General features: G+C 46.5%; 1 non-coding gene across 2 annotated transcripts in view; it reads right to left on the minus strand.

Moving 5' to 3' along the window:
- The window catches only part of EMX2OS (EMX2 opposite strand/antisense RNA), a 60776-nt gene that overhangs the window by 7063 nt on the left and 27212 nt on the right, over window positions 1-26501 (minus strand). For both annotated transcript variants that reach the window (NR_002791.2, NR_144378.1), the window contains one exon: window positions 666-754. This is a non-coding gene — a non-coding RNA (EMX2 opposite strand/antisense RNA). The remainder of the gene's footprint in view (window positions 1-665; window positions 755-26501) is intronic.

The following is a 26501-nucleotide window of genomic DNA, read 5'->3' on the forward strand; positions in this document are numbered from 1 at the left end:
TTTCCAAGCAGCTGTATGCTAAATAAGGAAACTCCAAAGAAAGGTTACAATTTTCCTTGAGCATCTGGAAATTAGGTTCTGTTCTCAGGTTCAAGTTAAAAACAGTGGTTGGAATTCTGGTATCAACTTTGCCAGATAAGGGGGAATTGGGGGAGCGCCTCGGTGGTGACGTGACATCCTGGCTGGTCTCTGTGCCTCAGTATTGATGAAGGATTTTGGGAGACAAAGGCTCCAGGACAGCCCATTTGCTCATTACAGGTGCAAAGAGGCCAATACTTGGCCTCCAACCCTTTTTTTTTAACTCTAGGAGAAGCAAAGCCATTTAATAACTCATTTCATAATGAAGAACGAATCATTTTTAAAAGCTTTCCACCTCTTTTACCAACTGACCCTATAATTAGACAAAGCATTCATTTCCTTTTTACTGCTGGCTCCCCAAAGCAAGATCTAATGGTCAGGGGCTATCAGGAAACAGATGCACACTCAAATTAGGATGCTTTAAGGAGTCCCTTAAAATAAATGTGTATCCTGCCCACACCTGCCTTGACTAAGGTGTGGGCAGGGTATACAGAAACTGAAAGGGCTGGTGCAATATCCTGGAGCTGGGATCTCAGTTCAGGGCTCTTACCATCCCTGGGCCTAAAGGGCAGACAGGAGAGAGTTACCGAATCTGGAAGGAGACAGTCAAGCAGAGAGGTGGCATTGACAGGAGCTGGGATCTTCAGCTGAGGCATGCAGCCAGCCTGAGATGACCCTGTGAGAACAGAGACAGAGGAATAAATATGCCAGCTTCACTGACCTAGTCTATCAGAGACCCCATTGACCAGACCCAGCCCAGAGCCAGAGGGGGTGCAGCCTATTACTGTAGGACAGACAGGCCAGTCTCGTGGGGTAGAGAGCGGCATGGAGAGGGGCAAAGGGTGGATCTGGAGAGGCTGAGAGGAGCCACCTGGGACTGGAGCTGCTCTTACATTCCCTCTGCACCCCGCCTGATGCATTCCTTCTTAAAACTGCTGCCGTGCAAACATCTTGTCATTTTGCTCTGGAGCACCCATTTGTGGTTGTCACTATTATATATTGCCTGGATCTGTCTTCTGCCAAGCCAGCTTGCAAGCCCTTAGAGACAGAGATTGTGTCTCTCTTGGATTTACCCACCACCCTGGGGTACATATGTTCCAAGTCTCCTTTGGCTTTCTACATGGAAAACCAACCAAGAAATGAATAAATCCAGTGAATTAGCCACAGGAATCCCACGACGGCAGGACAAAAGAGAATTATCAGCTGGGAGAGTTGTGGCAAAGAGAGAGTGCCTCCTTCCCAAGCAGCACAATGTGTATGCAAAACATGTGGACAAGTGCATGTGTGTGTGCTTGCTCATCAGTGAGGAGAGGCCATGTGACGTTGCAAGTAACAAGCACCCGATCTCAGCAGCGTTGTACAATAAATGTTTTCTTTTGTTCACATTACCTGTCCATTAAGGGTCAGCATGGAGTGGTGTCATAGTTTGGGACCCATGATGGCTTCGTCTCAACACACACATCCCCAGTACAACAGAAGAGAGAGTATGAAGTGAATTACTCACTGGCCCAATGTGTCCCTTCTGTACACATTTGATGGGCCAAAGTGGGCTTGTGGCCATGCCTAACTTTCACAGTCAGGGAAGGAAAAGCCTCACACACTCAGAAAGCAGAGAACTAGAAACATTTGGTGAACAGTCTCCCAAAGTGGCTGAGGTTGGTCTCTACCAGGGAGCCATGGAGGAATGAATAATTTTGAATTAAATGGAACAGTGGGTGTCAATAAAAATTAAACGAATAAACAAATCTATGCCTTTTGACATAGTAGTTCAAATCAGTCAACTCAGCAACAGAAAAAACATGAGCAAATCAAGTACCCAGGAATTATAGAAATCAAATGATTTGTAAGACACAGACTAGTTTATACTACAAGACCCCATGTCTTGCTGGTTTTAGCATAGCCTATGTTGTTTGACATGAATTGTGCCTGGGATGTGGATTCTTCATTGGGGGAGAGTCGAATTCTCCCCCAATTCAATTATGTTATGGTTTTCCAGATTCTCATGTCCTTGGCTATTCTTTAAGACTCAGACAGATTGATAAAGATCTGCTCATTGATCCTGATGCCCTCTGTGGCTCAGCTCCAAAGAGGACATAGCCGCTGCCACACCTGCTTCCCTGCCTTTTGTGGGACATCCCCATGCATGGCACTGTGTACTACCCCCAGGCATCAGGTTATAAAATTGCCCTATCCTGAGCCCCTCCCAAATCCCTGGACCTTACAGGAAATCACCTCACCTCAAAAGTAGAAAAGGGTGAAAAAAACATTTTCAGATCTGGGCAATCACTTTGTTGAAAAAAATTGAAACCAAGTTTTCAGGATTATTTTCAAAAGCAGAAAAGCATGTTCACTCATCTTCAGAAATTGTCCATACCTAAAAACTGTTTAGGTAGTGATGCAGGTTGGCTGAGTTATCATCAAATTGCCTCAGCCACTTGGCTTCCCAAAGAAATTGCCTTGAAAAATCATGAAGAGACTGTGACAAAAGATGTAAGAGATGGCAATATTTTTTTAAAAAACAAGATCAAAAAACTACGATATCTCTTCTCTGTTCCCTCCTATTTTTAAGTAATCTTTTGCACATCATGAACCCTGAAAGCAAATGCTAATACTGCTTCCTCAGAGTAAATTGTCAAAGTAATTTTGATGGCTGGACTTAGGCAGGTGGTTGTTTTATTTACAATGCCAAACCAGATATCCTGGGATAAACACTAATTCATGAGATCTCTAAGCACTTTTGTGTGCCTAGAAGAGAAACATGAAAATGACCCTGTGACTGAAAATGTGCATGGTCTCAATGAGAAAGTTATTGTCGCAGTAATCTTACAAGCCTATAAAAGTTGGGTGGCTAGCAGGGTCCTTCCCTGTCTTCTGAGGGGTCTGGGTCAATTCAGCTCTGGGACCTTCTTAAGGGCCCTTTTGAAGTCCTGTCATCTTCAGTTTTTTTAGCAACTCACATTCTGATATGACCTGCCAGGGAGAGGGTGAAAATGATCAGCAATGGCAACTTCCACTATTATAATTCATTTTCCTGATGGTAAAACTAGGACATGCTCATTGCAGAGAATTTGGAAAGTATGAAATAAAAAGAAGAAAATAAAAGGTAACCATATTTTCCCACCCACTGATAATCACCATCAACTTTCTGATGTCCTTCTCTTCCTTTTTAAGCTTCAGTTTTCCGGGTCTTGATTTTTAAACTATTTCAATCATGCGTTCATCCTTATTTATTGAGAGCATACTATTGTTCTGTTCCCGTCATCAGTGATGTAGCGATAGAATAAATAAAGTCCTGTTCTCATGGAGATGAAATAATATCAGAGACAGTTACTAAAATTCAGAGGGCAGAAAGACCACGGGAAAATCTTCAAACACTTGGAAGTTAAACAGCATACTTCTAAATAATTCATGGGTCAAAGAAGGAGTCTCAAAGGGAATTAAAAACACATAGAACTCTAAGGTGCAGCTAAAGCAGTGCTGAGAGGAAAATTTATAATACTAAATGCTAACATTAGAAGAGGAAACATCTGAAATCAATAATCAAAGTTCTCACTTCATAAAACTAGAAAAATAAGAAGAAAATTATGCCCAAAGCAAGCAGAAGAAAGGAAATAAAAATAAGAGCAGAAATAGATTGAAAATAGGAAGATAATAGAGAAAAATCAATAAAACAAAAAGATTGTTCTTCAAAAAAAACCAATAAAATTTATACATCTCTAGCAAGACTGACAAAAATAAAAAGAGAGAAGACATATTACCACAATCTCAGAGTTGAGACAGAGGATATCACTACAAATCCTGCAGTTGCTAAAAATATGATGAGCAGATGCTTTGAACAACTTTACGCTCATAAATTCAACAACTTAAAAGAAACGGACCAATTCTGTAAATACTGCAACCTATCAAAACCCAACCCAGATGAAACAGACAATCTGAATAGCTCAAAAACTATGAAAGAAATGGACTTTGTAATTTAAAAAGCTTCAGAGATGGTTTTTCTGGAGAATTCTTAAAAAAAAAACACGAATTTTACACCATGTTATTCAGAAACTAGAAGAGAAGGGAATACTTCCCAATTCATTTTATGAAGCTAGTTTAACCTTGATTCCAAAGCCAGATAAAGATTGCACAAGAAAAGAAAATCACAGACCAGTGTCTCTCATGAACTTAGATGCAAAAATCCTCAACACAATATTAGCAAATCAAATCCAGAGATGAATACACATACCTAGGGAGGTAGGGGTGACTTAACAAAATGAGCTAAGACTTCACACTTAGACAGACTTAGTTTCAATTACCAGTTTCCCATGCGATACAATAACTCTCTGAACCTCAGTTTACCTATCTGTAATACAGGGGCAACACACATATTTTAGGATTGGTTCATGTATCTAGTAAATGAAATTATATGTCTAAAAAAAGCCAACGGAAGTTATATTATTTTGTCATGTTTCTTTCTTCTTCTTCTTCTTTTTTTTTTTTGTTGATAGAGATGGGGTTTTGCCATGTTGGCCAGGCTGGTCTCGAACTCCTGAGCTCAAGTGATCCACTGCCTTGGCTTCCCAAAGGGGATTACAGGTGTGAGCCACCACACCCACCAGGTTTTCTCTTATGGAGGAACTAAATGTTACAGCAATACCTGGTATTTTGTTATGGCAGACAAAGGTGACTAATATAGTCATGGCCCTTAAACGTGGCCCATGAGACCCTGCACCTTCTGGCCTCCCCTCTTTCTGATCAGTACCATGACCTTTCCTCGTGGCCCTCTCCCCCCAGCACCGCAGGCCTCCTTGGTATTCTCTGAATGACATGAGCGCATTCCTACCCCAGGGCCTTTGCACTCCCAGCCAGCCTCACTCTTCCTCCATGGAAATTTCCCTCATTTCCTTCAAGCTTTTGTTCAAAAAGCTTCAGCCTTCTCAATGAGGCTGACCCTGAAAACTCTTTACAACTCACCTTTCCCCATCGAGCACTTCAACCCCCCCTTACATGTTCTACTAAAAAAAAAAAACTTCCCACATATTGGTCACTTCCTAACATATGGTATCATGTATTTGTGATATTGTCTATTGCCTGTCACCCTCTGAAAAATGATAAGCTCCAGAAAATCAGGTATACGGGTCTCTGTTTTGTTCACTAAATCATTCCAAGTGCCTAGGACTCTGGCTGACACATATTTCCTGCTCCAGAAATATCTCTTGGCTGAGTGAATGAACCTCTTCCCCCAGCGAGCGAGCCTGTCGGCCGAGGAGACCACGCCATACCAGGATTTTCCAGCAGGTGGCAGCCGACGCACGCCAGAGACAGCTGGGCGCCTACACTTTGAACTCAAGGTTCTTCCAATTAAGTGCAAGATAAGGAGCTTGGAGACTCATCGCGTTTGGCTTACTCCTGACGCAGACTTGCACTGGAGGTTGTGTGGAGGGGATGAGCCGGTGAGCTGATAAAGCCTTTATCTAATACGGGAGACTGTTTACCCACAATTCAGGGGTAAAAAAATGTAAACAGCTGTTGAGAAGAAAGGTCAGAGTCCTCCCACGGTGGGGAAAAGGGGCAGAAGAAAGCCTGTGGCCACGGATTGGCGTCACTCCTGCAGATGGAAAAGTGACATTGGACAACTACTCAGGGAAAAAGGTGAGCCCCTAACACACCGCTGGGGTCGTGGACGTTTCTAGTCTTACTTTTTTTTTTTTTGAGACTTTTTTGAGTTTTGCTCTTGCTGCCCAGGCTGGAGTGCAGTGGTCTGATGTTGGCTCACTGCAACCTCTGCCTCCCGGGTTCAAGCGATTCTCCTGCCTCAGCCTCCTGAGTAGCTGGGATTATAGGCGCCTGCCACCACACTCAGCTAATTTTTTGTATTTTTAGTAGAGAGGGGGTTTCACCATGTTGGCCAGGCTGGTCTTGAACTGCTGACCTCAGGTGATCCACCCGCCTTGGCCTCCCAAAGTGTTGGGATTACAGGCGTGAGCCACCACGCCCGGCCTAGTCTTACTCTTGACACACCAGAAGATGCTTTGTTATGAAACCTTGAATCTTCCTGTGGGCTCCTGCCAAGCTGCCCTCCTCCCGGGTGCTTCTGTTATCCATCCAGTCATGGAATTGAGTTGCAGTGGTAAGGAGCCCTTTAAAAGCCAAGTGCAAGGTGAACCTGCCTTCCATCAAATTCAGCGTTTAAGTGTGTCCGTTTAGCAGGAGGCTCTGAGGCAGAAATTGCTTGAGAATCTGAGTCTACAGGCCCAGAACAATCCATGCCAGCTGATCAACCTAGTAACTACCACAGTGACTACAAGAGCTAGCATTTATTGAGTGCTTCCTGTGTACCAGGCATGTGCTGGATACGTTTACCTGCACTATCTCATTCATTCTCAGTGCAGAGTTCTGAAGTTCACCCTCTTCTCATCCCCAACTCACAGATGACACAAGAGAGGTTGTCACTAGCCCAAGGACCCAGTTCGGTGCTCCGAAGCTCACCCTCACCCCTGGAGGGGAGGAATCTGTGAGTTGTGCCCTGGTGACCTGATAGACCTCAGAGAACATCTAGTCCACCGCTCCGTGTTGACAGATGGGGGAGCTGAGGCCCAGAGAGGGGAAGGGACTGGCCAAGTTTACACAGAAGCCTGCCCAGTCCCTGTTCAGAAAGAGCAACCCAGTGCGCCTTTAACATTCCCAACCAATGTCAGGAGGTCAAGCACAGGCTTTTATTATTTATTTCTTTGTTTATTTAGAGACAGGGTCTCTCTCTGTTGCCCAGGCTGGAGTGCAGTGATACGACCATAGCTCACTGCAGCCTCGAACCCCTGGACTCAAGCAATCCTCCCTCCTCAGCACTCCCCACCCCCAGTAGCTGGAACTATAGGCATGTGCATCACCGTGTTGTCTTGCTCTGTTGCCCAGGCTGGTCTCGAACTCCTGAGCTCAAGTGATCTTCTCACCTCGACCTCCCAAAGCGCTGGGATTACAGGTGTGAGCCACCATGCCCGGCCAGTCACAGGCTTTTAGTTTGCTTTCCTCAGATTCCTCATTTGCTTCAGTCCTTGCTGGCACTGAACACTTTTGCATAAGAGCTTGTGAAAATAACACCACCTCTCTTATTTTAGGAGTTTTATCAACTAGCAGACTGTTCAGCTGGAATCACTGGCCTCTCATAATGTGAATTCTGGTTTCTGTGGTTATTAGCTGGTGACTTTGGTCAAGCTGGTTTGTTCATTGGTAAAATGGAGGTAGTGGTATATATTCATGAAAGGCTAGATTCTAAGCCAGTGCTGTCCCATGCAAATGTAATGGTAGCCACATACGTAATTTTAAATTTTCTAATAGCCACATCAAAAAAAAAAAAAAAAAAAAAAGGTAAAGGGCGAACCAAAGCACACGCCATGATTAATTTTCATAAATTGTTTCATTGAATGCAATAGCTTCCAAATACCATCATTTCAACATCTAGTCAATATCCAGTTGTTCATGGGATACTTTGTTTCATTTTCACATGAAGTTTTCAAGATGGGGTGTGTGTTTTGCACTTACAGCACATCTCAATTTGGATTGGCCACGTGGCAAGGGGCTGCCCTGTGGGACAGGACTGTTTTCGGCCTCCGTAGCATTTTGAGCACGTAGCTCTGTGCTTTAGGAGGATCTTTGTATCTACACCTTGTCTGTAGAGGGTCATCATTTGGGACCCTAACGGAACAGAGATGGCCTTCTTCTTGGCCTAATAAGTCCCCAGTACTCCCCTGTCATCAGCAGGCCTCTGGGCTGCCTTTGAAAACCTTCCCTTCCCGGATAGGTTTCCTCCAACACCACAGACAGGTCTTTCCCATTCTCTGCAAATATTCACGTCCATTTTGTCCTTGATGTGGTGGAAGTGTTCTTAACAACTGCACAGCAGACTGAGATACGGTGAGAGAGAGGAATGCAGAGGATATGGGGCGATGGGGGAGGTGGAGAGATCGCATCCTCCCTCAGGATGGGCTTGGTATTGTGGCAACCTGGGGCTCAGGGCTCTGGTCACTGTGGAATGTTGTCTTTGCTTGCCAGCTTAGAGCCTCACCTTGCCGCACCCAGCTCAACTCTGTGGCCTCAGTGGAAACACCCTCATTACAGGAGTGCCCCACCTCCGCGACCGCGACTTATATTTGATAATAAGCAGGTGTAAGGGGGGCAATTGTGCATGGGCAGTGCTCAGAGAAACATGAAAAGGCTCAAACCATGCTTCACCCTCAGGGGCCTGGGCTGGGAGATGGGAGCCAGCGTCTGCTTGGGTTCTCCTGACAGCAGTGGTCACTGGGGCTCATGGAGAGTGACAAATGCAGGTGGGGTAGCTCAGACACAGGGCTCTGGGCTCTCCAGTGGGTCTGGGGGTGGCAGAGGCCCCTCTAACTCTCCCGTCACTCCCAGCTCCCAGGCAGTTCCATCCTTTTTATTTTTTCTGGAAGGCAGAGGTTGATGGCAAGAGCTCTGCATTCAGCCTGCCTTTGTTCACATTCCAGCTCTGCCACATCCTGTGTGGCTTTGGTGAGTGACCCAACCTCTCTCTGCATTGGTGTCCTCCTCTATGAGTGGGGTGGTAACTCCTTCTCCGGGTTTTCTGAGGAATAAATGAGGCAATAAACAGGAGACTCAGCATCAGACCAGGGTATCATTATTATATTTTACAGGGAGAGACCTGGTTCCCAGTACTTTGGCTTGTCCAGAATAGAGGCATCTTTTTTTCCCCAATCAATGTTATAGTTAAAAAATACAATATGAATAAAATCTATGCTGATAGAGAACAATCTCCGAGATGTACTCTGAAGTGAAAAAAGCAAAGTGCAGAATAGTGTACAATATAGGCCAACGTGGAGCATGGATGTGTGACCTGTGTTTGGGATGGCACAAAAGTTACTGGTAATGGGTGACTGGGAAGGGGAGCCGGGGACAGCGGTGCGAGAGAGCTTGACTTTTCATTCTCTAGCCCCTTGTAATATTCCCATTTTACCAGGAGTATGTATTCCTGCTTTTTTTTTTTCATTTTGAACGTGAATTAATTTTTTCAGTAAAAAAAAAAACTAATTCAAATATCCTTCCCTACCCCCACCAATGATAAATGGTCATTGTAAAAAATTTCCCAGTTCTGAAGAGAGAGCCTGAAAATGCTGTACCATTTCATTGCTGGGTGTTAGAGGATCCAGGGTCCCTGCCTGGGAAGTTGGTTTGCTCCGAAATTCGTTTTCCATGTATCACCACTTAAGCATCTGTCAGGGTTTAACTTGGGCGAGAGGAAAGCACCCAGCAAACACAGCACCACAGCATTTCTCTCTCACACGTGCACGCATGCACACACACACACAACCTAAGGACTACACATGCAACCCTCAACAACCAAACCACTTCATACCCACATACTAACAAATGAGCCACTTCACCTATCCACATCCAATCCCAAAAGCCCTTTACACCTACAAACGCACAACGCCCACCCCAACAACCAAGCACTCCACACACCACAACAACCTTTACACACATGCACCCAATGACCAAAGTACTTTACACATGCAACCCAGAAATCAGAAGGGCTTCACACATCTGCCCAATAAGCAAAGCACTTAATATACACACGCACAGAGCTTTACACACATACACACCCCAACCAAAGGGTCCACACACATACTCCAACACCCAAAACACTTCGCACACACACCCACATGCACACCCAAACAGCTTTACTCCTTCAACCAAAGTGCATCATACACAGTCCCCAACAACCAAAATATTTTACCCCCATGCACCCCGACAGCCAAAGCTCTCCTTACAGACCCCCCTTCAAAAGCCCCAAAGTGCTTCAATTGGTTTGATGCAGCGGCAGATACTTGAACACCAAGACATTAGAATGCAACTTTCTTTTCAGATTAATGAGCAGAAAAAGATTGGAGGAGGGAGGGAGTGAGAATGGCGGGAGAGAGCAATTACACCCAAATCTTTTCTCTGTTGATTAGGGATTCCTTCTCTAGCCTGCTTTGGCTCCAGCTAAATCTTTTTCTAATGAGATGTGGCTTATCCAGATCAAGGCGCTGAGAAAAAAAGTTGCAATTAACTTTAAGAAGAAAAAGAGTGAGTGAGAAAAGGAAGGAAGAGTGGAGGGGGCGGCCAGGGGTTGAGGATGGGGGCAGGGCCAGGGGCCTGGGCGGGCAGGCTGGGAGGAGCCCAGGGTCTGGAGCAGGCTCCCAGCAGGTGGAGAGGCGCAGGCCCGGCTGTGGTTCTGGAGTTTAGGGAACGGCCCTGTGATGCCTCTGCCAACCTGAGTCAGGCCTCGTGGCCACTTCAGGCTCAAATCAAGGTTTGGGAATGGCGAGTGCCCTCGGGTTTGGGCTTTCCCGGCTCTGCACCCCCATCCCTGGCAATGGCCTCTCTCCCTTCTGTCTGCCTGCCCTCTGGAGGACATGGGCCCTCCACTGTCCACCCAGAACCTCAGGTGGTGTCCGGTCAGCACTGACTCTGCTCTTGGGAGCTGGTGGGTTCAGCAGTCCTCCAGCGGCCAGGAGCCATGGGCTTGACATGTGCCTCAGCACTGATGGCTGCTGCTGAGGTCCCCCTGACTTGCCCCACTCTTTCCATCTGGGAGTAAGGTCTTGAGTTATTTTCATGTGAGCCACTTAGAAGGGTGGACAGGGCCTAGGACTGAAGGAGACACTTCATGTCGAGATGCTAAAAACACCTCAAGATCCTAGAACTGACACAGATTGACCTTTCTGTGCTTCTCTCTGGATAAAATCAAGCTAGACCTAGCTACAGCTGATGAATGGTCACTTCCTCTCTCTGATGCTCAGTTTCTTCACCTGTTCGGAAAACTAAAGAAGTGGGGCAGTGGATCTCCAGAGTCTCTGCCAACCTGACACCCCCAGATTCAACAGAAGGCACAGACGCAGACTCCACGTGTCCTGATTTGAGTACTCATGGTTCCCTCCCCGACTCCCAAGCTCTGCTTGGCACATTCGTGGGACACTTACACCTTCCTGAAAGTTGTTATCTGTGCAGAGATTGGTTTTTGCCCTATTTGGCAAGAAATATCCAGCAATGCCTGAAGGCAGCTTTCACAAATCTTGAGGTCTCTAACCTGGCGCTTGTGGTGGGGTCTCGGCTAATAACTCAACATCTGTATGCCAGCCGAGCTGGGGACCCTGAGCCTGGATCAGATGGAGTTAGAATGGGTGGGGTGGATGGCGGGGGGTGCAGGAGTGGGCTGCAGTCTCCCTTCTCTTTGGTCACACACAGACACACACAGCCAGGTATGCAGAAGGGGTCTGGGCAGATTGTTTAAAGCTGAAGTCCTTTATTTTCCTACTGACAGCATTTCCTTTTCCCATTCTATGGATCTCCCAGTGCAAATTAAAAGGGATTTTGATGGCACGCTGGTGACTCCGTGGGAAAAAGTGAATCTGGGTCTCTGCAACTTGCTTGGCTTCCAAAGAAGCAGGGCCCTTGCATGTTGGTGGCCACCCACACACGTGGGCTTCCTCATGGGATGTTTGGGTGACCCCTTGCCAAATAAGCCATGGAGATGACCCCAGGCCTGGGCACAGATGAGCTGGGCCCGTCTTTCCTGTGTCTAAGTTCTAGAGAGGTCACACAAGTCCCCACCTCCAAGCCCCAAGAATTTCTTTTGAGCCTGGTTCCCGGGTCCCCAGCCAGCCCTCCCTTCTGTCCCTGCCCTCCACACTGTTAGCTGCTGGAGACAATCTGGGCTTTCTCCTGTCTCTCTCTGGCTGTCGCCAATGTAATAAGCATATGTGCTAGAAATCCTAGCTGCAGTGCTAAGTTAGAAATTCTTCTTAAACATATAGCAAGGTCAGATGAAGGGAAAAAAAATAGAAAACAAAACACAAAACCCCGAAACAGAAATTGGACACAGGAGGGCAGATGCAGACTGAACAGGAAGTGCTGGCCCGAGGCTAAATGAAACAGCTGTCACCATTGTTCTGGACTAAAAACTGCCTTTGCAAACTCCATGCGGTCCAGGCTCAGAAAGCAGATGTTAATAATTACAGCACATGAAACGAAGGGCACAGGATTAGGCAAGTGACGAAAAAGAAATGGTACCAGTAGATTTATAACTCGCCTAGGCAAATCTGCTTGCTGGTGTGGGGGGTGGGCTGGGCGGCTTCCCTGCAGAGGCCCCTCCTCAACCCCCTTCCTAGTTTGGCATTTTGGCTTCCGGGATGATCTCAGAATTTGGGGATTGTTTTATGGTGGGGGGCCATGGAGACCCATTCAAGCTGCCTTTCCCGGGACCCCATGCCTGCAGGGCCATAGCCGGTTGCCTCTGACCTACAGGAAAAAGGATAAAACCCCTAATGCTCAGCCCAGGTACCAAAAGGGGATCTGTGGGCAGAAAATAGTTGGATGGGTTCCTGAAAGCAGGGACTCATGTGGACACAAAGCTGGGCAGCCATTCTTGGAGCTCTTGCTTTTACCAAAGAGTTCATGTCTAAAATCCAGGAGCTCAAGTTCTTTGCAGCAGAAATTGATTCGCACTTTAAAATCAGCCAGCCCCTAGCGTCTTGGCAAGGGAGCTCGGGTAGAATGTTGGGACACTTGAAGAAAGTAAGCAAGGCGAGTTTCTTGGGCTAATTACATAAGTAGAAAAGGCAGAGTCTTCACATGTTTTCTGAACATTCCTCGGTGCTTTTCCATGTGAGCCAGAGTTGTAAAAAACAAAACAAAACAACACACTCACATCTACAAAAATTCCTGCCATCCCACCACCCCCTAGAAAGGACGTTTCTAGGAAAGGTTAGGAAGAAGGTAAAGCATGTGTTTGGCATCTTTAGGCCTGATATGGAAACCATATGCTTATATACACTAGCAAACATACTTAATATAACACTCTCTTTTATTAAATGTGGTTTTATAAACGCTCTCCCCAGCCAGGGCACCTTCCCCATGCTGGAGGCTGGAACTTGGCAAAATAATCTTCCCGCTGTTACATCTATGGATACACATTTTTTGAAAATGAGTCTCGGACCCTTGGAAAATAGACTGGTTCTGATTATTATTGCAAGAGGGAAGGGGCACACGAGGGCATCTTTTTTCCTCTGATAAATTAAAAGAACTGTAACGGGTGCTTTCTGCAACCTGTAAAAGGGCAGAGCCATCTGTAATTCATTTAGCAGCTCCTTATAGAAGATTTATTTGATTAATTCAGTCAGAAGAGAGAGTATGGATTTTCCCCTTCTCTGAAAGGCACATATACACTCACACATGCACACATGCACCCACCCATGGGTAGACATCTCAGGAATGAAAAATTACTAATCGTATTATTGGAACTGGTGAACGCGGGGCCTCAGTGGTGAGATAGCAAGCTCCCGCCCTGCCGATGGGAGGGCCGGTTTCAGAAGAGATTTAATATCCTCAGGCCCAGTGCCACCAAAGAGTGAGCCCAGAGGATAATACCGTGAACTACTGGATCGCTTTGCTTAGGCATTGATTACTGAGTGCCAGGCACTGTGTTGAGCATTTTGAATGCATTATCTCATTACATCATCACAATGACCCTTGCGGGAGGTACTGTCGCCATCACCACTTTATAGACTGGGAGACGGCCCCATTCCCAGCAGCCCTCAGCTCAAAATTCTTTTCACTTTTTCCAGCGGAATTTTGCTTTCTCAGTCCTCCGTGCCTACAGCAGACAGATGGAGGCCACGCCTTACATTTATCTAGTGGTGGGTGATCTTGGAAGGGGTTATCCACATTGGCTATGCTTTATCCCTGTAGGTTTCAGTTCAGTGCTGATTAGAGAAACACTCTCCTTTAGGCTTATCTCTAGTCTCAAGGAAAGCTCTGGCCTCCTCTGGCCTTGGTTGCCTCTAACTTACGTGACCCAACCCTATAAGCAATCATCTCTAGACCACTGTCAATTCCTGGTCGGGGGAGGTGGCAACAGCCCCTGAGAGAGGTCTTTGCAAAGGGCAAAGAAAACAGTACAGGTGAGAGGAATCATAAAAGCACACAAGATCTGAGCCAAAGAAGACTATGGATGTCAATGTCAAGAGTGGCAAATATATGGTAAGTAAATGTGTCACTGCTCTCTTTCCCTTCCTCACAGCAGACATTGCTAATTGATCCCAGCTCTCTCTTCTACTAAGCCTCAAAATCCTCAATACAGAACTCTACGCAGCCTCTACCAATAGATTAGAATTAGCAAAAATAGTTGAAAGCAGTTTGCAGTCCCTTTCAGTTGAATGTTTCATTTTGTGGAGGGAGAAACAGGGGCCCAGATAGAATAAGTCAGCTACAAAAGCAGTCAGAGAAGGTCAGTACCCAGCCTCAGATCTCTGGCTTTCTCTGCCCGGTATTTTCAGCATCCACACCAGTGGGGCTGGTCCAAGCCAGGGTGCAGTGGATCAGAAACCTCTCTATTTTGCTGGGTCTCTGCTGTCACCCCCTCCCTGCAATAGAACGTCACCGAAGCTGCTCTGCAGACAGGATAAAAGGCATCCTTTTGAAGGCGGCAGAAAATTGAAATCTTTGTGACTTTAACATAATTAACCCCAAACCAGGATGGAGTGGGGCAGCCTGAGCCCATGATCTGTTACAATCCAGGGTCTAAGATTCTAGAAAGAAGTAGAAGTTTTCATTTTGGAAATACTGGCATCAGTAGACACTCCTCATTCTCTCACTGGCTGGACCACAGGAAATGCCTAGATCAAAGGCAACCAGGACTCAATAGGCTTAAGGTATTGAGGGCTTGTCTCGGCTGCAGGGCTCTCACCCCGGCCCTCAGACTTTTCAGCTGGGCGGAATTTCTCTGTGGAAAGAATAACAGGATTTTGTGAAAGGAAGAAGGAGGCTTCAAGTTCAGAAGTTCCCTCCAGAGCTCTTTCCTGCTGCTCCCTTGCTAGGACCTAATCTTCAATGTTTCTCAGCCTGACGTAGCTCAAGGGGGATTTTGTGGCTCACTACTTAGTTCTGTTGAATATCTGATTGGTGGAGAAAAGCTTTTCCATAGAAGAATAAGACTGAGTACCAGGACTTAGGTTCAGAGAATCAGAGGGTGAGTCTGAAATCCAACATATTTTGAAGGGAGGCAGTCATGGCCCTTTCAGTATGAAAAGCGTTTTCACTATCCCATTGGCAGGGGTGCCTGTGGGGTCTTTAGGGGGCCTGCTTAAAGAATAGACAAGTATCGTGTGCAACTTGCCTCTCAGCCCTGGGGTTGATCCTGGTACTCCTGCTATTTTTGAGGAGGCTTGAAAACACTTTGTTTAAACCTTCCTTCTACAATCCTGTGTATACTATGAATTTCCATTATCTAAAAAGAAAATTTTGCTAACTGAATCAAACTCTAGCCCAGCCCAACTTCTTGAAAAGATCACAAATATTGGACGAGTGAGGTCCCAGATACTGAGGATTTTACAGGGCCCAAATACTGCCCCTTGAGGGGGTTTGTTGACCAACATCATTTGTTGAAAGAAGATGCTTATATTACAGAAGTGGTTTTCCAGAATGTTCCTGAGTGGGTGATTGGACAGTCCAGAGAAGGAGCCAAGTTGCGGGTCAGGTAATGAAGAGAGGAGGTCCTCTGTGTGCCTTTTTTTTTTTTTTGATGGAGTCTGGCTCTGTCACCCAGGCTGGAGTGCAGTGTCATAATCTTAGCCCACTGCAATCTCCCCCTTCCAGGTTCAAGTGATTCTCCTGCCTCAGCCTCCTGAGTAGCTGGGATTACAGGCACCCATCACCACAACTGGCTAATTTTTTTTGTGTTTTTAGTAGAGACACGGTTTTGCCATGTTGGCCAGGCTAGTCTCGAACTCCTGACCTCGGGTCATCCACCCACCTCGGCCTCCCACAGTGCTGGGATTACAGGTGGGAGCCACCATGCCTCGCCCCTCCCTGTGCCATTTCTGATTCCACTTACGGATAAACGAGCAGGCTGAGGTGCATATGCATTACCCTGAAGACACAACTCAAAAGAGGACTGTGTGCCTCTGGGAATTACACTCAGTGGCCAACCAGATCTTCACTAGATGTGTGATTTTGGACAAGTTAGATAACATCTCCTATTTCCTTCTCTGTAAAATAGCAGTAACAAAAAGCACCTAACTCACAAGGTTGTTGTGAGGATTCAATGAGATAAAGCACTTAGAACAGGGACTGGCACAAAGTACCAAGAAAATATTATCTCCACAATCTCCATCAGCTGATGAATGGATGAAGAAAATGTGGTCTATCAATGAGATGGAATATTATTCACCCATAAAAATAAATGAAGCGCTGATACACAGTACCATGTGGACGAACGTGGAAGACATTACGTTGAATGAAAGAAGCCAGACACATAGGCCATCTATTGTATGATTTCATTTATATGAAATATCTAGAATAGGCAAATCTACAGAGACAAAAAGCAGAATCATGATTTCTTAGGGCTGGTAGGGGTGGGAGGACGGGGAAGTAACAGCTAAAGGGTATGGGATTTCTTTTTGAGATGAGGGAAATGTTCGAAAATGGACTGTGGCGATGGTGGCACATATCTGTGAATATACTCAAAACCATTCCATTATATACACTTTGAATGACTTGTATGGGATGTGAATTATATCTTAATAAAGCTGTTTAAAATAAAACTTTTTGGGCCAGACGCGGTGGCTCAAGCCTGTAATCCCAGCACTTTGGGAGGCTGAGGCGGGTGGATCATGAGGTCAGGAGATTGAGACCAACCTGGCTAACACGGTGAAACCCCGTCTCTACTAAAAATACAAAAAAATTAGCTGGGCATGGTGGCGGGTGCCTGTAGTCCCAGCTACTCGGGAGGCTGAGGCAGGAGAATGGCGTGAACCCGGGAGGCGCAGGTTGCAGTGAGCCAAGATCGGGCCACTGCACTCCAGCCTGGGCGACAGAGTGAGACTCCGTCTCAAAAAAAAAAAAAAGAAAACTTTTTTTTTTAGGTGAGTGTGGTTACGAAAATGGGATGATGGAGCCTTTGACAACTGGGCAACTGGGGAGTGGATGCTCTACCTAGAGACATTCAGATAGAAAATAAAAACACGCCTGCGGGCCAAACTCAGCCTCAATTTCCTCATCTTCTAGACAGACAGAAGTTCCTCCCTCAAAGGGCCGTTGGAAGGAAAAATGAGATAATTCATCTACAGCACTTAGCATGGAGCCTGGCATATTCCAGGCACTCAGGAGGTAGCAGTGGCATTGCCATTATTCTTTTAGACTCTAGAATTCCATGCTGGAGGAGTTTGGGGGGCAGTCTGATTGGAAAGGAAGTGGGTAACTAGGGGTCGTGTCTTGAAGCTACATTTGCAAATGAAGCCTACTGCATCAGCTTAGGTCATATGTTACAATAAAAAAGACATTTGCAAAGTTTTCTAAACATGCCTTTATTCACACTGTCATAGTGTTGAAAACACACCTGTAATCAAATAATAACATTGTTAAAAAGTTGAAGTGTCTTTGATGAGAGGCCCATGAGGATTTTGGAGGAATTTGAGTCTCCCTGATCGCTGAAAACTGATGCCATAGGTGCCTGATTCCATAGGTGCTACCACTGTCGTTAGAATTAATACTTAAGTGACCACCTGTGAAGGGCACTGGACAGAGTGAAGAGGCTGGGTTCTTGACCTGACCCAGCCACTCACCAAATGTGCAACTTAAGGAAAATAGTTTAATTTCCCTGGACTTCAGTGTTTTCAACTATAGGATGAGAAGATGGTGGGTGCAACCTCTGAATGTCCTTCAAGCAAAAAACTTCAGAATCCATGATAATGGCCCAAATCTTATCGCTGCCTAGGTAAGCCAGACTGGACTGTCCGAAGGATGTCTCCCATAGACTGGAACGTGTCCCTTCTATTCCAAGGGTCTTGAGTTCTAGATTCTAGGCCAAAGCTCACAGCACACTTGCTAGAGAAGAGCCTCACCACTACCTCCATTCTGATTCCCCCTTAGGCTGAAGTGCCAACATAGTTAAGCCTCTCTCTGGGGCTGGAGACACCTGAATTGAACAGTATCACCCCTAAATTCATGTCTACTGGATCCTGTGAGAGTGACCTTATTTGGAAATAGGGTCTTTGGAGATGTAATCAAGTTAAGATGAAGTCATACTGGATTAGGTTGGCTCTTAATCTGATGATTGGAGTCCTGCTAAGAAGAGGGAAATTTGGAAAACATGACACGGAGAAGAGAACATCATGTGTACGTGGAAGCAGAGATTGAAGTGAAGCTGCCGCAAGCCAAGGAAGTCAGACTGCTAGCACCAACAGCTAGGAGAGTGACATGGAACAGCAATGTTATCATCCCAAGGGCATGGCCAGAATTTCGTGGCATCAGTGATGCTGTAGCTCACGCCTCCGAACTTGCTTCACACAGTCCCAGAGTAACTTCTACACCCCGCCAGCTTTCTGGTGCTCCATGTTTTGTGGGCCAGACACCAACTGGACAGTACCCTAAAGCTGTCCTATTCTCCCTCCCTACTTTGACTTGGTGCTGAGCCTGGCCTGTGGGTTTCTGCAGCAGTGAGACAGGATGGGGCTGAAGGCTTGGCATTTCCTCAGGCATGAGGGATAACAATGGTTATTGAAGAAGAATGTCTAATGACAGAAAAGTGCTCATGGTTCATTTGTTCATTCATTCAACAAATATTAATATTACTTGAGCACCCACTCTGTCACAGGCACTGTCTCAGGCACTGGAGGTAGAGCACTGCTGGTGGGAATGGGGATGAGCCAGTCCAGGGATCCTGGGGCTCTAGGGTTGGCTGAGATTGTTCTGTGGACCCCTGAGCATTTTTGCAGTTTCTTAATCTCTAATGGAGATGGTATAGTTACTCCCAGCAAGATCACTTGGGCTGACATGTCACCTTCCTTTGCAGGAATCTGGAATGACATCAGCTGGAAATGGTGATGCTAAATAAATATCTTGTGGTGGTCAGAAGCTGCCTGAAAGATAGGACTGCAGTTAGAATTAAGTTTTTTTGTTTGTTTGTTTGTTTTGAGATGGAGTTTCTTTCTTGTTTCCCAGGCTGGAGTGCAATGGCATGATCTCGGCTCACTGCAACCTCCACCTCCTGGATTCAAGCGATTCTTCTGCCTCAGCCTTCTGAGTAGCTGGGATTACAGGCAACCGCCACTATGCCTGGCTAATTTTTGTATTTTTAATAGAGACAGGGTTTCGCCATGTTGGCCAGGCTGGTTTCGAACTCCCGACCTCAGGTGATCTGCTCGCCTCCGCCTCCCAAAGTGCTGGGATTACAGGTATGAGCCACCATGTCCAGCCAAGTTAGAATTAAGTTTTTAAAATAGGAGAGCAATTAGTACATTATAAGTGCCTTGGCTTGGTAGACAAACAACTTTCAAAATGTAGAACTAGAGGGAAGGGCCAAATAATTGAAAGTGTTCTTGGGGAGAGGAAAGCCCTTTATTCAACTTAATACATTGACTAAGTTTATTTAATATATACCTTAGAATAGAACCTGTGTGCTAGGCCCTGTGGTCGGCGCTGGGGACAGCGACACACAACACAGAGAAGGTCCCTGCTCCCACGGGGCTGTCGCACTTACTACAGGAGACAGCCAACAGGCAAACAAAAGCCACCTTCTTAGGCACTCAATACATGATAGTTATTCTAGTTATTCACTGTTTCCAGTGAATAACTATCATGTATTGAGTGCTTAAGAAGGTGGCTTTTGTCCCACACAGGCACTACCCTGGGCTCTGGAGACTGAGCAAGGAGCAGCAGAGGCCAGCTCAGGCCAATTGCTTGCTGTCCTGAAACTTCCATCCTATCAGGGCAGGCAGCTAAGAAGCAAATGGGGAAAAAAAAATCCAAACAGGAAAAGGTCAGATGGAAACATCAAACAGAGTGACACGGTTGAGACTTCCAGGGAGATGGGAGGGGGGTACTGTAGCAGGTAGTCAGGGAAGACTTCTTAGAGGAGGTGGTCTGGAACTAAGGCCTGACCAAGAGGCAAAGATGAGGAATCCCAACACTCACTTCTTTCAAGAGGCAAGGTGAAGGATGGAGAAGCACGATTTCTGCCTAGACTTGGCAGGTCCGAGCTTTGTAGGAACTAGCTAGCTTTGCTTTAGGGCCACAGGTAGGTAAACTGAGGTGATGTGGTCTGTCTAGGGTTGCTCAAGAAGTCAGTGGCAAAGCCGGCCTAGAACTCTGGGTTTGGGCTCCGTGGGCAGTGCTCTTTCCATGCTGTGTACCATCCTGCCTCTCAGGAAATGACTTCCTGAATGCTTTTATGGACCTCTGGCCGCACAAAGGATGTGTCTCTGTGTCAGGCGGGTCTCAGGGATTTCCAGAAGTCCTAAAATGTGCATGGTGCTATGCCAGAAGCCACGAGGAGTGTGACAGTCCAAGCTATGAGGGATCTACACTCTCACAGGAAGATGAAAGCAGCAGTATCAGAGGGTGTGGGTGTGGATGTGACAGTGTCCCATCGTGCTGCTGAGAGAAGCGGTGGGTTGAAGGGGCTCCCGGGAGGAGAGGCCACGGCAGTTGGGCTGGGAGCTTAACTTCTCATTTACTCACAGACAACTTCTCAGCCCGCATTTCACCGGCCCCCCAGCCCCCAGCATGGGGGCCCAGGGACAGGAGGAGGTCTTGGCACAGCTGGGGCTGGAGGCCTTTGCTTGAGCCCTGGGTTGAGGTGTCTTCGACCTGCAGAGAGGTCCCTGCCCAGGGTTCCTATGGGACTAGCCCTGCCCCTGCTCACTTCTGTTCCTTGTTGCTGTGCCACCGCCCCCCACACCCCCCGGCTGGCTTTGATGTTAGTCCCACTCAGCCTGGCCTCCTGCTGCGACGCCCCAGGATGGCTCTCCAGCTCGCAGGGACTCTCCCTCTCTGTATCACAGCCCAGATCTGGCCTCCTGCTTGCTGGGCTGTGGCAGCGGGATCACTCTGGGGCCCAGGGAGAGGTAACGAAGGAACAAGGTAAGTTTGGGCCAGATTGAGGGGGTTTTGTAGGCCTGGGGTCGCTAGGCAGATGTGCTCTGATGGATGACGGGGAGTCCCCCATTCCTGGCCATCTGAGTGGCATGTGAGGCCTAATGGGGGTAGTTGGAAATAGTGGTCAAGAGTTTCCATTTCCTCCCTGAGTAGCCATGGTCAAGTTCCTTAGCAATACCTGCCTTGTTGACTTTACTCTGTGCCTCAGTTTTCCCATCTGTAAAATGGCGATAATAAGAATGGGCAATTCACAGGGTTGTTATGAGGACTAAATGAGGATGTGCCCGGCTCACTGTACTCTCTCTAAACTGTAGCTGTCGTTGATGCTGAAGTCTCTGCTGGATTTGGGAGGAATTAGCCCTTTGGAGCACAGCTGCAATGGTGCTTGGACCCTCTTTGCTGCCTTCGGCATGACAGGAGCCTGCCTTCCCTGTCTTGAGTTTGTGTTTTCCTCCTTCTCTGGCACTTGGCCCAGTTTGGCCCTAATAACCTTTGAGGGACCTTCATAGCTGACCCCCAGCCTCTTTCTGCTCACAGCTGCCCGATGGATCTTCCAGCCCTGCTCAAAGTCCTCTATGGCTCCCAGGGGCTACACAGCAAATATAGCCACCTCCTTAGTCTTTATTTAAGATCTTCTGCAATTTGACCTTTGTCTTAACCTTTCAGCCCCATGTGGATCTGGGGAGTCCAAGCCTGAATTTGAGTCTGGGTTCCACTGCATCTGAGCTGTGAAACCTTGGGAAATGCATGTAACCTGTATGCACCGTGGTTTTCTTATTTGTGAAATGAAAATAATTACTCCTGCCTTGTGGACTTCACAAGGATGTTTGAGGATCAGATGAATGGGGATGTGTATGGTGTTCGTAACCCAGAAAGCAACTCGCTGTTTGGGGGCCATACAGTGGTTTCCTTTCTCTAGGCCTTTGTTCACACTATTCCTCCACCTGGAGTTCCTTGTCTCCCTCGGTTACCATTATCCAAATGGGTATAGCTATGTTCAGAGCCCAGGGAAGACGCCATGTCTCGTCTGTAAAGACGCCCTGACTATTCTGCCTGAAGTGTATGTTTCCTACATCTGATCCTCACACCTCTCACAGACACGTCTTCCTGTATCTGCTGTCTCCTTCCTTTGACTGGGAGCTTCTAAAGGGCAGGACGATACCAAAATCAGCTCTGCTTTTTCCACGGCACCTCGTACTCCACACACAACAGGTGCTTGATGAGTACTTGGTAAAAGGATGGGAGAGTGTGTGGATGAGTGAGTGAATTTGGGGAGAGTGATAGCGCACTGAAGCCAAAAGCATGGCCCCATCCCCTCTGGGACCTATTTCATGGCCCTTGATGACTGTGCCTAATGGACAGCCATTTCCCACGCGTGGCTCAAATTTTCACAAATAGGATAGATCCATTCACCTCTATAAGGAGGGTTTAGGGGCAGAAATCTGATTGGAAGTTGGGGAGTGGGCTTGTCTGGACATTATATTATGCAGACCAAGCATATGTTTTGAAAAATTATGTATATAGCTGGGTGCAGTGGCTCACACCTGTAATCCCAGGACTTTGGGGAGCCAAAGTGGGAGAATTGCTTGAACCCGGGAGTTTGAGACCAGCCTGGCCAACATGGAGAAACCTTGTCAATATGAAAGAAAAAAAATTAGGCTAATGTGGTGGCAAGTGCCTGTGGTCCCAGCTACTCGGGAGGCTTAGGTGGGAGGATCACTTGAGCCCTGGAGGTTGAGGCTGCAGTGAGTGGTGATTGTGCCATTGCATTCCAGCCTGGGCAACAGAGCAAGACCCTGTCTCAAAACAAACAAACAACAACAACAAAAACCTCAAAAAAAGCCCAAATCAAACCACACACACAAGCACACATGCATCATCCCTTCAATGTGGGCATGGCGGGGGTCAGAGGCACATCACACAACTAGATCAGAGAGTCGGGGTGAGTCAGGGCAATACCTCCCTCCTCCCAGGTTGGGGTAGGGGAAGACTGGGGCTACGTGGGAGCTGAGGAAGTGACTCTTGGTGACCTGAATTATGTTCCACACTTAGGAGCACCTGATTTATTATCAGGGACTGAAACACACAAAAGAACAAAGGGCCCTGGGGACATTTGTGACCCATCTGCTCCTTCTCCACATTGCACCAAGGCACTGCACTCTCAGCAGTTCTCAGTGTCTTTGCATCTTTGCGGGAGCCCCTCCTCAACGTCCCCCTCCCCACCCGCCCCACTTACATTCTAGGGCCACACATTCCTCAGGCCGTGCTGAATCCTAAGTATTTTAATGCCTGATATCTATCTCCGTATGGATTTTTTTTTATCATGAGGCCACTGGAAAGTTTTTTGATATCTCTTTGAAACAGATGTCAGCAAAAGCTTCCAGCACAGATCAAGGGCAGGTTAAGGCCTTTGAGATGGGTCTGAATGTCCCTTTAACATCGTTCAATCTAATACCCAAATATACCTCGAGTCATTACCCTGTTTTTATAAGAAGCTCTGAACCATATGTTCGGGAACTAATTAAGCATACAAATCAAGCCCTGGGATCAGGTGGCGCTCTGTTTAAATATCTTAACCTTTTATGATTATCTTAATTTAGAGAAAATTCAAAACACATTCAGAAGTCTTAGAAAATGAGTTCACTAGGAATTTACTGGCCGGCTTTTTTTTCTTGATGTTGGGATCCTTTCTTTACAAGTCCAGCCGAGATTCCTGGGGAAGTCCTCCGAGCTCACACCTCCCAGGAAATGTAGACATTTGCCGGCCTGGGGGGCCCAAAAGGCCACACCTGTCTTTACCTTCCACTAGCAGCCTCTCCCAGCCAGAAACTCCACCTGTCCCCACCTCCCAGCCCACATGGCCCCCATTTGCCAGAAGGAAGGGGAGAAAAACCGTGGACTCTGCACTTGGAAGTTTTGCCTTCCTTTTAGATAAAATAAGGTATGAAATGAGTTGGGGGGAAACATTCCTGCAGCCCATGTTATTTTGGGGGAAGCCATGGGAGGAGCTAAGGGCAGAGACTGAAATGTGATTGCACAAACCTGGCTCCAGAATGGCTACAGGTGGCTGAGAGGGAAGACAAAAGCTGGAAACCATCCTTGTTTTAGATTCTGGGTGATTCTAGCAGTGGGAAGTGTGGGCTGGGGTAGCAGATGGGGATCTGTCTTCTCACCTACCTCAGGCAAAGGAGATACTTGATCTAGAAGGCATGTCTAAAATGTGTACACATACCAAATTGAATTGACTTGTGACAAGTTCTTCTAATCTTTTACCTGCTCAGCCAATATATCTTTATTGAGCACCTACTATATGCCAGGTCTGTTCTAATGTCTTTACAAGGACATTAAACTGCCTTTGACACAAGTGCCCAGTTTACTTACAAAGACTGGACTGGATCTCAAAAACACTCTTTCTTAATGTTCTTAGGACCAGTAAACCTTTACAATAGGGTTTCCAGATAAACTGTAGGATGTTCAAGTTTAAATTTCAGATGAACAACAAATACTTGTTTACTCTAAGTATGTCCTGAATTTTGCATGGCACACACTTATACTAAATCATTATTCATTGTTTATCTGAAATGCAAATTTAGCTGGGTGTTCTGTGTGTTTATTTGTTAAATCTTGCAACCTGACTTTAGAAAAAGATATAAATAGATATGGGTGCTGTCTCAATCTTGGATGTTAAATACTAATTTTGGAGGAAGACAACAGAAAGCAGCTTTGTGCAAGGCCCCCTTACATATGTGATTTGACTTAGACCTGTATTAGTCTGTTCTCATGCTGCTAATAAAGACATACCTGAGACTGGGTGATTTATAAAGAAAAAGAGATTTAATGGACTCACAGTTTCATGTGGCTGGAGAGGCCTCACAATCACGGCGGAAGGCAAAGGAGGAGCAAAATCACGTCTCACATGGTGGCAGGCAAGAGAAGAGCATGTGCAGGGGCAACTCACCCTTTATAAGACCATCAGATCTCATGAGACTTATGCACTATCATGAGAACAGCACAGGAAAGGCCCACCCTCATAATTCAATTACCTCCCACCTGGTCCCTCCCACAACACATGGGAATTATGGGAACTACGATTCAAGATGAGGTTTGGGTGGGGACACAATCAAACCGTATCAGACCTTATCACAACTCTAGGAAGGGGGTTCTGTGATCATCCCCATTTTGCCTGTGAGTGAGCTGAAGCTCAGAGAGCTTGAGGGACTTACCCAAGGTCATCCAGCTTTTTCTCTAGCCCAGCTCTGCTGGACTTTGAAGCCTGGGCTCTTTACAGTGACAAGTTGATGGTTATCTTTCCAGAGTTCTTATTTTCCTAGAGCTTTCCCTGGCTTCTCTCAACTTCTTCCCCCCTTTCCCACAAATATGCAAGGAGAGATTCACTCCCGTCAGATCAATGTCACTGCCATAATGAAAACCACCACCCGAGTTCATGAAGGACGAGATCTGTCGAACCCTAATGAGAATGGTTCCAATTATGCAAAAAGCAACCTCATGGTTATTCTAATGTTACAAGTAAATAGAAAACATTTAGAAATACTTGGCTTGGATATTTTTTTTAAGTACAGATGTCTGACTCTCTGCCAGTTTGTTATTAAAAATGCTACAGTGGTTTGGGTACAAAGATTGTTATAAAAATAAAAGCTAATGCGGTCTGAGCACTTGTTTTGCCTTTGTGGGGACCTCAGCCACGGTAAGGCCAAAGGAGATGGTGGCTAGTGGTGGCTCTTAAGCAGGCACCCCAACATTCATAGCTCTGTTAGTGCCCTGCTTAAAATGATGCAGGAGCTTCCTGGTGTCCCTCAAATCCCGAATCTGCTCCTGCAGGGTTCCAGCCCTATCTGTTCCCACTCCCTCTTGCTTACTGGCTTTTTCTAGCTCATCATGCATTTGCACTTGCTGTGTCCTCCACCTGGTGTGTTTCTCCCAGCCCTTCACCTCGATGGCTCCTTTTCTTCCTCGGCCTTCAGGTCTTCTCTGACCAGCTTCTCTGTATGGCTGTCCTCTTGCCTCCAGTTACTTTCTATTGTAACTCTCTGCTTATTTCTTTTATTTTTCTTATAACTCTCTGAAGTTATCTTGCTCACCTTTTGTCTTTCCCACCAGTAAGTCAACCCCATGAAGGAAGGGACCCTGTTTGTTTCATTGACACACATCATCTTCAACACCTAGAACAATGTTAGGCACATAGTAGTTGCTCAATAAGTATTTGTCGAACAAGCGAATGCATCTACCAAAGCACCTGAAGTCTTGCATTGCTTAATCCCGCCTGGGGCCACGGGCCAGAAGAAAAGTAGCAGCGTCTACAGTTTTTTTTTTTTTTTTTTTTTTTTGAGACAGAGTCTCACTCTGTCACCCAGGTTGGAGTGCAGTGGCATGATCTGGGCTTACTGCAACCTCCGCCTCCTGGGTTCAAGCGATTCGCCTCAGCCTCCTGATTAGCTGGGATTACAGGCGCATGCCACCACGCCTGGCTAATT

Source organism: Homo sapiens, chromosome 10 (assembly GCF_000001405.40).
Source record: "Homo sapiens chromosome 10, GRCh38.p14 Primary Assembly".
In the NCBI taxonomy this organism is placed as follows: Eukaryota; Metazoa; Chordata; class Mammalia; order Primates; family Hominidae; genus Homo; species Homo sapiens.